At 42.6% G+C, this 13,317-nt stretch overlaps 1 protein-coding gene across 3 annotated transcripts in view, besides 3 other annotated features; it reads right to left on the bottom strand.

The window, feature by feature from the left end:
* The window catches only part of LRMDA (leucine rich melanocyte differentiation associated), a 1,128,545-nt gene that overhangs the window by 475,902 nt on the left and 639,326 nt on the right, over positions 1-13,317 (bottom strand). The gene's annotated exons all lie outside the window — the stretch shown is intronic.
* Positions 168-745: an enhancer, noted in NCBI's record as "H3K27ac hESC enhancer chr10:77843280-77843857 (GRCh37/hg19 assembly coordinates)". NCBI's record gives its function as "activates a minimal SCP1, AML or CMV promoter by ChIP-STARR-seq in primed H9 embryonic stem cells {active_cell/tissue: H9 hESC(primed)}" and the evidence as "EXISTENCE:reporter gene assay evidence [ECO:0000049][PMID:30033119]".
* Positions 1,325-1,902: an enhancer, noted in NCBI's record as "OCT4-NANOG-H3K27ac hESC enhancer chr10:77842123-77842700 (GRCh37/hg19 assembly coordinates)". NCBI's record gives its function as "activates a minimal SCP1, AML or CMV promoter by ChIP-STARR-seq in naive H9 embryonic stem cells {active_cell/tissue: H9 hESC(naive)}" and the evidence as "EXISTENCE:reporter gene assay evidence [ECO:0000049][PMID:30033119]".
* Positions 1,903-2,482: an enhancer, noted in NCBI's record as "H3K27ac hESC enhancer chr10:77841543-77842122 (GRCh37/hg19 assembly coordinates)". NCBI's record gives its function as "activates a minimal SCP1, AML or CMV promoter by ChIP-STARR-seq in naive H9 embryonic stem cells {active_cell/tissue: H9 hESC(naive)}" and the evidence as "EXISTENCE:reporter gene assay evidence [ECO:0000049][PMID:30033119]".

Below are 13,317 nucleotides of genomic sequence, written 5' to 3'. Positions count from 1 at the left end.
AAGATCACACCACTGTACTCCAGCCTGGGTGACAGAGCAAGACTCCGTCTCAAATAAATAAATAAATAAATAGAGAAAAGAAAAGAAAAGAAAAAACATAATATTCCTACTGAGCCAAGTCCCTTGGATACTAAGGAAGAGGTGGTATCTCAGTTAATGGCTTCTTCTCCAACAAATTGTTGTGCCTTTCCCTAGCCACTTGTCCACACAGTCTTCCTCCGTTCATGAATGTTGCTCAGGAGCCCAAAGCCCTCTGCTAGAAAGAAAGGCTCAAGTACCCTGAGAGGTTCACCACCAAGCTTCATATTTAAGTAAGTAGGTGCTACCAGGAAGGGTTCATGGTCAAATGAGCTTGGGAAACAAACGGTTAAACAAGGTTCAACCAACTTCTTCCCCACAAGATGCACTAGAGCCCCTTTTTTTTTTTTTTTTTGAGATGCAGTCTAGCTCTGTTGCCCAGGCTGGAGTGCAATGGCGCGATCTCAGCTCACTGCAACCTTCGCCTGTCGGGTTCAAGTGATTCTCCTGCCTCAACCTCCTGAGTAGCTGGAATTACAGGCTCACGCCACCACATCTGGCTAATTTTTTGTTTGTTTTTTTAGTAGAGACGGGGTTTCACCATGTTGGCCAGGCTGGTCTCGAACTCCTGATCTCAGGTGATCCACCCACCTTGGCCTCCCAAAGTGCTGGAATTAGAGGCGTGAGCCACTGTGCCAAGCCATGAAGTGACTTTATTTTATACCTATGTTATAAAATTATTTAGGTGTGGTGAGGCCAACAGATCAGGGGATGACTGCCATTGAAAACATAGCTTACTCTAGTTCCCAAGAGGAGGGGGCATGCCATGTTACACAGGGCCCCACATGGAAGCATCTGGGTAGGCAACAAGGCAGAAGGAGGCAGTAAAGTCTTGACTGTGGTGGTTCTGGGACGAGATGGGCCAGGCAAGGTAAGCAGAAGTAGGACTGGCTGTCTTGACTGGTCCTGGGATGATTAGGGCAGAGGAATTCTGTCTCCTAGAGTGTAGGAGCCAGAGAGAGGAAGTGGTTCACAGCAGGGGCTCTGGATTTGTTCCTTTGCATATCAAAGGCACACCTCTAAGTGAGTCATTTGCAATCTCTAAGAATTGGCTAGCCCTGGGAAGGACAGTCTTTCCCTGGTTAGCCCAGCCCCAGATGTCAGTTTATCAAAAGCACAGGAAACAAGCACATGTAGTCAATGCAATCTAGGTCATGTTGCCATGCATCCACTGAATCCCTGCTTCTAATTGTTGCTCAGTACTCCAAGGCATCTACCACATTCTACCTTCCAATCTCCTGGAATTTCCTTCAACTCAAAGCTGGCTTCAACTTTCTACCACTACAAATAATACATTAATGAAAATCCTCCTACGAACTTCCTTATGGACCTATGCAAGAATTTCATCGGGATATTTATCTTAGAGTGGACTTGCTGGGCACAGGATATGAGTATATTAATTCAGCTCAATGAAGCCAGCCTGTACTCCAGAATTACTGTAACTCTACCAGTAGGGCATGAGGGTTCCTATAACCCCACATCCCACTAACGTTTGCCATTACCTGGTTTTTCAATTATCCCAGCCTAATGGGTACAAGGTGATCATTTATTCTTATATTAATTTACATTTCTCTGATTTCTCCAAAGTCTGATCTCATTCAGCTTTATTCCTTGTAACAACTCAATACAGGTTTCTAAGCCAATTCTCGGTGAGCAATAAACATCTAATGGAAAATGCTAGACTTATTTCCTTTGAGTCACAGGTACAAAGGCTGCCTAGTTCTCGCTCCTCCCACCAGAAACCCACGGGCAAAAGCACTAACTACAACAGATACAAATAAATCTGTTTCCTGATTTTGTGGATGATGCAACCATTTAGAAGACAAACCTTGCCATGTTGGACAGCTCACCCCAAAGTGACAGGCAGGGAAATCAAGCCTGAGGCAAGGGTACAATTCAAATATCACACTTTCTAGGTCAACTTAGTACAGTCATCCCTTGATAGACAAGGGGAATTGGCTTGAGGGCCCCCTGCGTATACACAGATCCACGCATAGTCAAGTCCCACAGTTGGCCCTATGGAATATGAAAAGTTGGTGTTCCATATACATGGGTTTGGCATCCCGAGAATTTCAATTTTTGATCTTCATTTGGTTGAAAAAAATCCTCAGGTAGGTGAATCTGTGCAGTCCTAAACCTGTGTTGTTTGAGAGTCAACTGTAGTTAGAGGCTGAAGGATGAGGATTTGGAATTGCAAAGAACTACCTCCTACCCAAGCTACTTGGTTCTATGGCACCGAAATCTGAAACTAAGAAGAGATATTGTCTATTAAATGTGAGCCAATCAAAGCAGAAATCTATACAACAAAGTAAGGGATAGTGTTTAATATATGTATTACATAACATGCATATATAGCTATATAGTAAGTATATAAACATATAATGTGCTCATCTGGTAAGCATGTATGTGTGTACATACACACATTTTATATACATGTGTGTTTCTATAATTTTTCTCCCTGTCAAATAAACTACAAACTACTTTATAAGTTTTACTCAGTTTAGTCCCTGTTTTCAGATCCAGAAGAGCAGAATACCACTTGTATAGGTGAATTTTCTTTCATCTCATCTTAGGCAATTAGTAGGATTAAAAAGAAAGCAAAAACCTAAAACATTAATACAAATAAACATGTTACGTAAAACATATGTCATCCTAAACACAATCTGTGGCTATATCTGATTTTATATAAATGTACACACCACAGGCAATCCAATAGTGTTACTTTCACTTATTTTTGAGATGGAGTCTCATTCTGTCACCCAGCTTGGAGTGCAGTGGTGTGATCATGGCTCACTGCAGCCTCAACCTCCCCAGGCTCAGCCTCCTGAGCAGCTGGGACTACAGGCACCACCACACCCGGCTAATTTTTGTATTTTTTATAGATAGGATTTTGCCATGTTTCCCAGGCTTTTCTTGAACTCCTGGGCTCAAACAATCCTCCCACCTTGGCCTCCCAAAGTGCTGGGATTACAGGCATGAGTCACCGCATCCTGCCAGATACTTTCATTGGAAAAAAAGAACAAGTGGTAAGTGTGACTACTGCTAACTAGAAGCCAATACAAAATCTGATGCTGAATGCACTGGGAAACATAAAGGTGTCACCAGGGCCATTCCAGATATTTCTCTCACAACTTTATTTTCTTTTCTGCCTGCAATAAGGAAGTCTTTAGTGAAAGCGCTGAACACAAACTGTCTGTTACAGCCGTGCTTCCCACCAAGGGCTCTTGGATGGAGGTGTCAAGGTGTGAAGACACAGCCCACCTAGAGAGGAGAGACTGCTGACCTGCTAACTGAAAATATAAGCAAGCCCTGACATGCCACAGGCCGTCGGAAGAGACATTTGCTTTTGAGTACCCAGCCTATTCTACTCTCTGACTTATGTAGATGGGACAAATGGTGCCCTGGGCACACTCATCTACACATCAGCCTGAATTAGCTAGTAAATCACAACTGCAGTAGCTAATAACAGCCATAAAGCCTTTTGAATGTTACAAGGTGTTTATAATGGGCAACTCACTATGATTTATATAAAAAACATGAGTCAGCTCCTGAGACAAAGCTGATATGTGGACAGTGGCCTTGTGGTGTGACCTCTAGCAAGCATCCACATAAATTGCAGAATTGCAGAATTTCCCTCTGGTCCAAGGCTGGCCACTGTCTCATACACATATTTTCAGAATAACACTTGGTGAGAGAACTGAGTGCTGGTGCATTGGGTCTTCCCTGGTAATTGGCCATGGGGAAGAAGGTGACTGTCTCAGTATAGCTCAGTGTAGTAGAAGATGCTAAATACTAAGGGATAATATAGGACCATCCCTAAGTTTGGCCCCATGGGGTAAACAGAAGGTAGATGAGATACATTCCTTGCCTTCTCACTTGGGAAAGCAAGATGGATATATTCAAATATTTGAAAATATAATATGGCTTAAAGATGTAGTTAAAGGAAAGCTCTGGGGTCTGGGAATTCTGAAAGGGGGCTTCATAGAGGACAGAATCTGAGTTGGGCACCGAAGGATTGATGAGAGAAAGAAGGTGAGATATATATTCCCTAGAAGGTAGATGAGTGAGTGAAGAGATTGGGCGAACAATAATGAAGGCATATCTATTTCGAAGGGAAGGGAGGAGGAGGAGGAAGAAGAACTTGAGACATACACTGATCTAGTTAAACTGAAAAAATACACTGCAGAACAGTGGGAAATGAGGCCAGAAATCACAAAAGAAAACTTAGAGCTGGCAGCAAATGACCACGGATACCCCAGACAGAAGGCTCTATGCTATGAAGTTTACCAAATTCCTGGCAGGTAAGGACCAACACACCTAAAAAGACTGGCAAGATGAAGGCAGGTCTCTTCCCTTACTCCTAACTGTTATAAAAGCTGACATGAAATGACTTATCCAGAGCATTCTTTTTAAGAACAAAAAATCCATCTCCATCATTATCAGATGATTCTAGACTAGAGCCATGGTCTAGCTTCTGATGTCCTGGAAGGAAATACTTTCACTACTTTTGCTTATTTTCTTGTTTCTTTTCCATACTTCTTGGGCCTTTCCCTTTGGTTTAAATATTTTGATGTAAGGACTTTCTTTTTATAATGGGATGTTGGTCTTCTGGTATCCATCTAATGTGGGGCTCCAAGCCTTTTTCCAAACTGCCTCCAACTCAATGAGACTTTATTGTTGAAAGCCACATAGGGCTCTTCACACAAGGACTTCCATACATCTGAAGAGACCCACCCCCACTCCCCCTGGCTGGGCTGTGTTTTCCCTGAGGAGCCCATGTGGTCAGCCTGGAGGGAGGCAGATGACATGCATACTGCCCATTCACCCAGAAGTGTGCAAAACTGCACACCCAACTCTCTATCATTCTTCCCTCCACAGTCAGATCAAACGGCAATCTAAAAAGCCCTTTGAAGAATTCTGTTCATTCCATTCTAACAGAATGTGACAATAAAAAGGGAATAAGAGTACTATAAGGCACAAAGGTCAAATTATTTAAAATATTCAGTCTATAACATTTGTAGACTTCATCAGGCACACAAAGGAGAAAAAATTTGTAGGCACCCAAGCAACTGTAGAAGAGGTCAGCATAGTGAGACAGAGGAAAGACTTGAGTCCATCTTCCCTAGAAAGTGCTCCCTGTGAAGGCTAAGGCTGTTTTAGTTCCTTTTCTACCCAAATCCTTCCAAGGACCCTGATAAACAAAGTAAATATAAGATGGATGAATGAGTGGGAAGAAGAATGGAAAAACTGAGGCTTGGTGTTAATGGGTAGAAACTAGCCAATGGGTGAGAAGAAAGACCTTCCAAAAAGAATCACCTGAAATCCATTTTTTTTGTTTGTTTGTTTTTGTTTTTGAGACAGAATCTCGCTCTGTCGCCCAGGCTGGAGTGCATGGCGCGATCTCAGCTCACTGCAAGCTCTGCCTCCTGGGTTCACGCCATTCTCCTGCCTCAGCCTCCCAAGTAGCTGGGGCTACAAGCACCTACCACCATGTCCGGCTAATTTTTTTGTATTTTTAGTAGAGACGGGGTTTCACCGTGTTAGCCAGGATGGTCTCGATCTCCTGACCTCATGATCCACCCGTCTCAGCTTCCCAAAGTGCTGGGATTACAGGCATGAGCCACCGCACCCAGCCCTGAAATTCCTTTTAAGCTGTTTGGTGGAATGCAAAGAGAGGCAGATGCCTCTATGTATTAATTCCCTCATCTTCTAGATAAATATCCTAAATCACCTCATCTTGGTTCTCCTCCTTCCAGTAATAACAGGTCCAATAATTTTCTCAAAAGCTGGGAATTTCTGGTGCTGCCCTTCCATTATGGAACGTCTGTGCTTAAATAGCTGAAGGTCACCTGTGTAAACACGTGTTCAAGAGTTAATATTGGCCGGGAGCCGTGGCTCATGTCTGTAATCCCAGCACTTTGGGAGGCCGAGACGGGCAGATCACGAGGTCAGGAGATCGAGACCATCCTGGCTAACACAGTGAAAACACGTCTCTACTAAAAATACAAAAAATTAGCCGGACTCGTGGTGGACGCCTGTAGTCCCAGCTACTTGGGAGGCTGAGGCAGGAGAATAGCCTGAACCCGGGAGGCAGAACTTGCAGTGAGCTGAGATCACACCACTGCAATACAGCCTGGGCGACAGAGCGAGACTCCATCTCAAAAAAAAAAAAAAAAAAAAAAAAAAAAAAAAAAAATGTTAATATTGCAGTTAGGGGTAGGAATGAGAATACAAGTTGAATATATCCAGGCCAAGTATACCAGAGGGCATGGCCTGAGAAATGACCTAAACCATCTTCTTTCATAGCTTGAGAATACTAATGGTGGGCTTGGGATATTTCATTTTCATAGATGGCCTGAAAATGCCCCAATCTTGAGGCTTCAGGTATGTTACCTTCCAGCTAAACCTCTGGGTGACAATGTCGTTGCTGCTTGGCAAATCTAAAAAGTACCCTATTTCCTGAAAAGCACAGGATTTGAGCAGCTTCTTCTGCCCTCATCACTTCAAATTATTTTTAAGGTTCCAGCAGAATTCATCCTAATTTTGAAACTCAAATGATAAGATCATAAATAAATGGTGACCTCCCAGAAAACACTGAGAAACTATGACCTTGGAAACTCTACTTCCTTCCTTCTAGCATGACCATGTCCCTGATAGAGAAGTGATCTGTCTCAGTTCATTTTAAAAATATGAATATTTTTCTTTCCCAGTGGTCATGGATAGCATAAATTGCCATTAGCCATGACAAAGACAGATAACCTGCCCTACAGGAAAGAGATAGCAGAAAGGCTGAATTCATTGTCATTTTCCTATAGCTTGAAGATCTCCAGCTGTCTCTAGTGCATCCAAAATTTCAGCCCTCTAGAAAGCTTGTTTTGAATAAAAGTGAAGCAAAATATACTTTTTCTCTTAAAAGACTGTCTGGTCGCCATCACCTCTAAGTAGGAGGATGGTGCCTGGCTCTGAAGCTCAAGCATGGTCAACAGAACCAGGACATGAATATGTCATCTCTATTCCTCCCTTCCTTCCTGGCCCTGGTGCTGCATCCTCAGCCTATGATTTGGGATGGGAACTCCTGGCCCTGGGGCATCTTCTGCCATGTATATAAAACCAAGAACTGGTGGTTTGAAGATGAGAGCTGTGGCAAGCTAGACATATAGGACAAACATTGTTTCGAGGCCATGTCCCTGACTCTCAGAAGTGTGGAGAAGTCCAGGTAACGTGGAGCACAAAGAAAAGTAAACCCTGGTCCCAAACTAGGTCAAGTCAACATCATCTTCATCAGATGGATTCAGGAACTTTTGGAGGTTAACCATGTTCTTTCTATTCCTGGCTATAAATGCAACATATTTGTTTGTTGTCTGCCCGACCCTTGAAAGAGCTGCCATTTCCATTTTGTGCTTCCTGAGGGAACTTTAGGGACCTGGCATTGGTTGATGACTCCAGCTCTCCTTTCCTGAATCATGTCATCTCCTGAGCCCTGAAATACCCAGAATGGCCAGGTTAGAGATCATGTAACAACACAGCACTGGGCCAAGAGGAGGCCCAAGTTCGATCTCACTTTCACTTTTCTCTGGAATTGTCAGTGAATCCCACAACTCCCCCATCTTAGTGCTCTTTATTTGTAAAATAAGGCTCCACTTCATCTGTCTTATCCTCTCATGAGGATAAAATGAGATCACGTGCGTGACAATGCTTCCCACTCTCTATCTTCACATTCAGGATGCTTACATGAAAATAATTACAAAATATGCAGAAAAATTAAAAGGCAAAAAAGAAGAAAGAGAAAGAGAGAGGAGGAGATACAAAGTTGTTAAGTCTTTTTTTTTTTTTTTTTTTTTTTGAGATGGAGTCTCGCTCTGTCGCCCAGGCTGGAGTGCAGTGGCATGGCGGTCTCGGCTCATTGCAAGCTCCGCCTCCTGGGTTCACGCCATTCTCCTGCCTCAGCCTCCCAAGTAGCTGGGACTACAGGCACCCGCCACCACGTCCAGCTAATTTTATGTATTTTTAGTAGAGACGGGTTTTCACCGTGTTAGCCAGGATGGTCTTGATCTCCCGACCTCGTGACCCACCCACCTCGGCCTCCCAAAGTGCTGGGATTACAGGCATGAGCCACCGCGCCCAGCCCAAAGTTATTAAGTCTTTATTGGGCACGAAGCCCTGGAATAAGTACTTTACAGTATATTCATTATTTCCTTTAATCCCTTAATCCAGCAACACTTTCAGGTATTTATTTTTATTAACCTCATTTTAAAGATGAGGTAACTAAGGCAGACACTCATTTACTCAAAATCCCATAGCCAATGGGAGAGTGGGGATTTGAATCCAGGTTGAACCCTAAAATCTGGGTCCTTCAGTGTACCACCACAGTAGGCCAGATACTGGACCCCTACCTGACCAAGATGCCAGCTGAGGGACTGTGCACCATCCAGGTCACAAAACCATAGGGAGACCCTCAGAGTTCATCTGCATCACTGTACCCATTTTACAGATGAGCAATCTGAGCCCTGGAGGACAAACTAGACTTGCCCAAGGGTTTACAGTAGCTGACTATTGCAGTGGGGCCAAAACACAAGTGCTCAGTATGGTAGATGCTGGCTCAATGTTTACCAAATACACTGACTTTTGTTTTGGAGCACTCATTTGAGCTGCTGTATTAGTTTTCCAGGGCTGAAATACAAAATATCATTGATTGGGTGGCTTAAATAACAGACCTTTCTTTTCTTATAGTTCTGGAGTCTGGAAGTCCAAGATCAAGGTGCCCACAGGGCTGGTTTCTCCTGAGACCTCTCTCCTTGGCTTGCACAGGGCAACTCTCTTGCTGCCTCTTTACTTGGTCATCTCTCTGTGCATGGGCACCCCTGATGCCTCTTTGCATGTCTTAATCTCCTCTTCTTATAAGGGAAACAGCCAGATGGATTAGGGCCCACCTTAACAGTCTCATTTTAACTAAATTACCTCTTTAAAGGCTCTCTACTTCCAAATGCAGTCACAATCTGAGGTGAGGGCATCAACATATGAGTTTTGAGCGGACACAGGTCAGTGCACAATGTCCGCATTTCCCAGGCTTTTTTGCAGTTATGAATGTTCATATGCCTGAGTTTTGGCCAATGGGCAGAAGTGATGTGTGCCACCCAAAAACCCAGACTGTGGATCCTCCTGTTCAATCCTCCATGTTCTCATGCTTGCTCCATCCATGGGCTGAACCCAGGAAGGACTCAAGGCCCAAGAAAAATGCAGAGCCATTGCATGGAAGAAGCCTAGGTCCCTGGACACTCCTCACTCTCCATCAAGGAGTTATCAGTGAATGGAGACTGACTAAACCACCGGGATCTGGGACTGTTTGTTACAGCAGTTAGTTTCCCCTGACTAATACATGTAGCTCCTCAACCAATATTCTTTCCATAACACATCAAGGGTCAATGAATTTCACCTAGGAGGAAAAAAAAATGACAGGCTGACACCAGCTCCAAAGTCAATGAACAATTCAGGTGGGCTACAGACATGATAGGAAAATCTACTTCCCTTCTTGGGGTTCCAGGCATTTTAGTGAGCACGGTCCCCCAGAACCTCCTCTGACTTACAGTCTCCCATGGGTCTCTGGTTCCTCCTCCCTATATAGGCTAATAACTGGGAGGGGGGTGGAAGCTGTAGATGATAATGGTCCCTTTCTTATTTAAACAGGCCATTTGTCTTCCCAATAAATGCATTTTTTTGTCAGCTCAAATATCCCCCTTTGATAGAAACCTGAAAATAATTAGCCTTAATAGCTCTGCTGTGAATAATGCTGCACAAGAAGGAGGTAGATGTTAATAGGAACCTTCCACTCCAAAGCTAAGTCACCCTCTTGGCCTCCCACCCCCCGAAAAACAAATGTAACAAGAAAAAGATTATAGGTTTAGTGCTACTTGGGAAGAAATGTATATTTGGAATAAATGCATGAAATCCTTTAAAAACAGCACATGCTGAAAACTTCATATTTAGTTTGATTTGCTTTCCAAATCACACAGACTGCACAGTTGCATACAATCTTTAAACAAGTATAACCCCTGAGAAGTGTGGATAGATTTAAGAGAAATAAAAGCAAGATCAGCCAGCTTGTAATCTTCTTTTCTCTTTTTTTCCTCCCCAAAGCCGCATTAAATTGGCTATTGAGAACAATAACATATTTGTGCTTTTATAGGTAGAATGATTGGTATTATGCAAAGATTTGGCTTACAGTCTGAAGGCACATTCACACTGATCAGGACTTCGTGCCACTAATAATTTTCAGGATGCTCTAGGGAACCCGTAATTCCCTAGGACTACAACTTAGCAGGTCAATGCATGCTTTGTACAGAATCTAAGCCTTGCTTCTAGAACCATACCCACCAATAAGACTCTAGGAAACTCATTTCCAAAGAAGGTCTTGGAAATGTTAAGTGTTCCTTTTGACCTACATTCCCTCTAGCCTGGGTAGGTGCAATGACTCAGCCAAGATAGGCTGCCAACTTGAAAAATGGCACCCTGGAATCCTTAGGCAGAGCCTAAAACCGCTTGTGTGCCCACACCTTGTGACCCAATAAGCCCAGCCATGAAAAATTATCCTAAGGAAGTAATTTAAAGGAAACACACATACACACACACACATACCCTGCACATACATACAACTAGCAGTATTTTATACATAAGGTTAAAATCCAGGAACGGTGGGAAAATGGTTTGGTAACTAATAGTACTTAGGTCAACTTGATAGAGAATTATACAGTCCATAGAAAGAATATATTTGAGGAATACAAAATAAGTAATAAAAATTTTAAGTAAAAAGTAAAACATTAAACACATCAAGAACACATTTAGAAAAGGATTTCTAAACACATTTAGAAAAGGATACGGTTTGGAAGGGAACACACATATTCCCTACATGTGTCATAGAGTCACATATAGGGAATAGAGTTGAAGGATTTTCTTTGTTAATTTCCCTTAATGAAACCATAACATTGTTAAAAAATATAAAAACAACACAAAACAAAACAAAATGAAGTGGTTCCTTGGTCTTTTCATCTTTGATAACCACACATATGTCTGTGCCCTGAGATTCAAAATCTAGGCTCAAATATAATGTACAACTTCCATTTTAGGGAATTCAGGAATTCCCTGCTAAGGAGGTTTGTGGGGGGTGGTAAGATTTGGTTGCATGGACAAACACAATCAGACCACTGCCAGACTGGCTGTTTCATCTGCGATGCTGGAAACACCAGCTGTTCCTATGCATCTGGAAACATGGAGACTGGAAGGCCTACTTCAAGACTACTCCACAGAAAGGTCTGCAGATGCATTCACACACAGCAGCAGCAGAAGTACTCAAAGACCTTAGGCTGTGATAAAGAGCAGTTTACAAAGATAAGTCACCTTCACTATGAATGGGAAAGCCAAAGGCAAGAAGGAACAGTGTTGCACACCTCCCTTTCATCTCTGGGAACAGGAAAGTAGCAGTGGCCACCAGGACACTCCCATTCCCCCTGAACCAAATATGTCCTTCTGCCATTCTCCCATGCTTGTTCCTTCAAGAGGTGAGAGAGACAAGGAGCTCCATGTTCATTTTTCATGATGTTTACACTGATCTCTGGCTAAGTGGTTAAACTTCTCTTGGGGCCAACCTAGAGTCATCATAAAACATCACTGCTAGAATGACATGAAGGTCTAGCCTAAAATACTTTTTTTTTTAATTAAAGGCTGTTTTTAAAAAGAATTGTTTCTCTTTACTGAGCACCTACTATGTGCCAAGCACTGGTGTCAGATGTTTCTTATCTATCAGCACTGCAGAACTGCCTGCCAGGCATTATTATCTCTGTGACACAGATTGGAGAAGTTGGAAAAATGGAGGGACTTGCCCAAGGTCACACCCCTTTAAGTGGTGGAGAGGGATTAGAGCCCAAATCTCTGGACTCCCTGTCCAGGGCCCTCAACACAAACTATCCTGCATCTTCGATATACTCAGGGGGACTCAGCTTGAACTGCTCTTGTGGCAGGGGCTATAATTAGTTGTCTGGTCCCAGTTGCTTGCAGGGTAAACAACGTCTGATAAACCCACAATGCTGTAAGTATTTATTACATTGCAACCCAGCTGCCAACTGTCTAACCATTTTAATAAAAAGCTATTTTCTAAGGTTTATGTTTTATTGCGTGTATGACTCCCTTATTGGTTAGCATTTTGGAGTTGTGGAAAAGGTTATGAATTTAGAAACTGGCTGCATTCATATCATATTTAAAACTTAATGCTATTTTATTAAAGACATATGGGCCTCCAAAGTACACATATTAAATGTCATGTAAGAAAAGTAGCAGTTTAAATCATGGTCAAATTCATTTTTGACGTGACTCCTGAGGCTTCCCAAGATCTGAACTATTTCTTTGTAAATCTGGCAGTTTAACCACACTCATAAATCACTTTCAAAGCATATTATTTCTTAATTTTACTGCATAAGAGAGCGTTTGGCCTACACAGTGAACTGTTTGTAGCAGTTATGTGAACAAAGTTGCACATTTAGTCATATAATGTGCAAAGGAAGAGGGGAGGGAAAGCAAAGAAGGAAAAGCTTTTTATTCTTTATTCCGCTTACTCGCCCTGTTCATTTTTACCTAAGCAAACACAATTCATATTTTCAGCTTAGGCCTCTGGCATCTAAAAGTGTAGAGGCTGCAAGTTGGTATTGAGGCTTTTCTGAACACAAAGAAGAAAAAAATATTTTGTAATCTAATCTTCTCCAAAACATCCCATGACTAAAAATTAGAATGAGTACAGAAGTTAGAACCTCTCTTTCTCTTTTTCTAGCATTAAACTGAACAGATTTTTTTGTTTGTTTGTTTCATAATACAGTACTTGGCTGTTTTCTAATTGTCTAAAGAGCCAATATCTCAATCTTGGGTTTCAAAACCCTTCTGATGATGGGATAATATTCTTTGGACATGTGTAACAAGCTCCCAAATTTCATTCCCCAGTTTTTTCATTTCACTCTGGGGGCAGAGGGGCCTGATTCCAATGACAAATTCTAGGATCTAAACATCAGCCTTCATTTCCAGATTCGCCAAGGGAATTAGAGGAGGATTAAGAGAGTTGAGTGCGAGGTCACTCAAATGAAAGAGCTTAAGGGCTCACTTCTGCACCAGGCATCCTTTCCCGCATTGGTCCTGTATGGAGACCTCTCTCCTCCACAGCTGTCCAGAGGGCAGCTGCACCTTCATGCTCCTGGCTCCATC

This window comes from Homo sapiens, chromosome 10 (genome assembly GCF_000001405.40).
Source record: "Homo sapiens chromosome 10, GRCh38.p14 Primary Assembly".
NCBI lineage: Eukaryota > Metazoa > Chordata > Mammalia > Primates > Hominidae > Homo > Homo sapiens.
The sequence above is the reverse complement of the archived record's forward strand: the minus strand, read 5'-3'. Positions and strand labels throughout refer to the sequence as shown.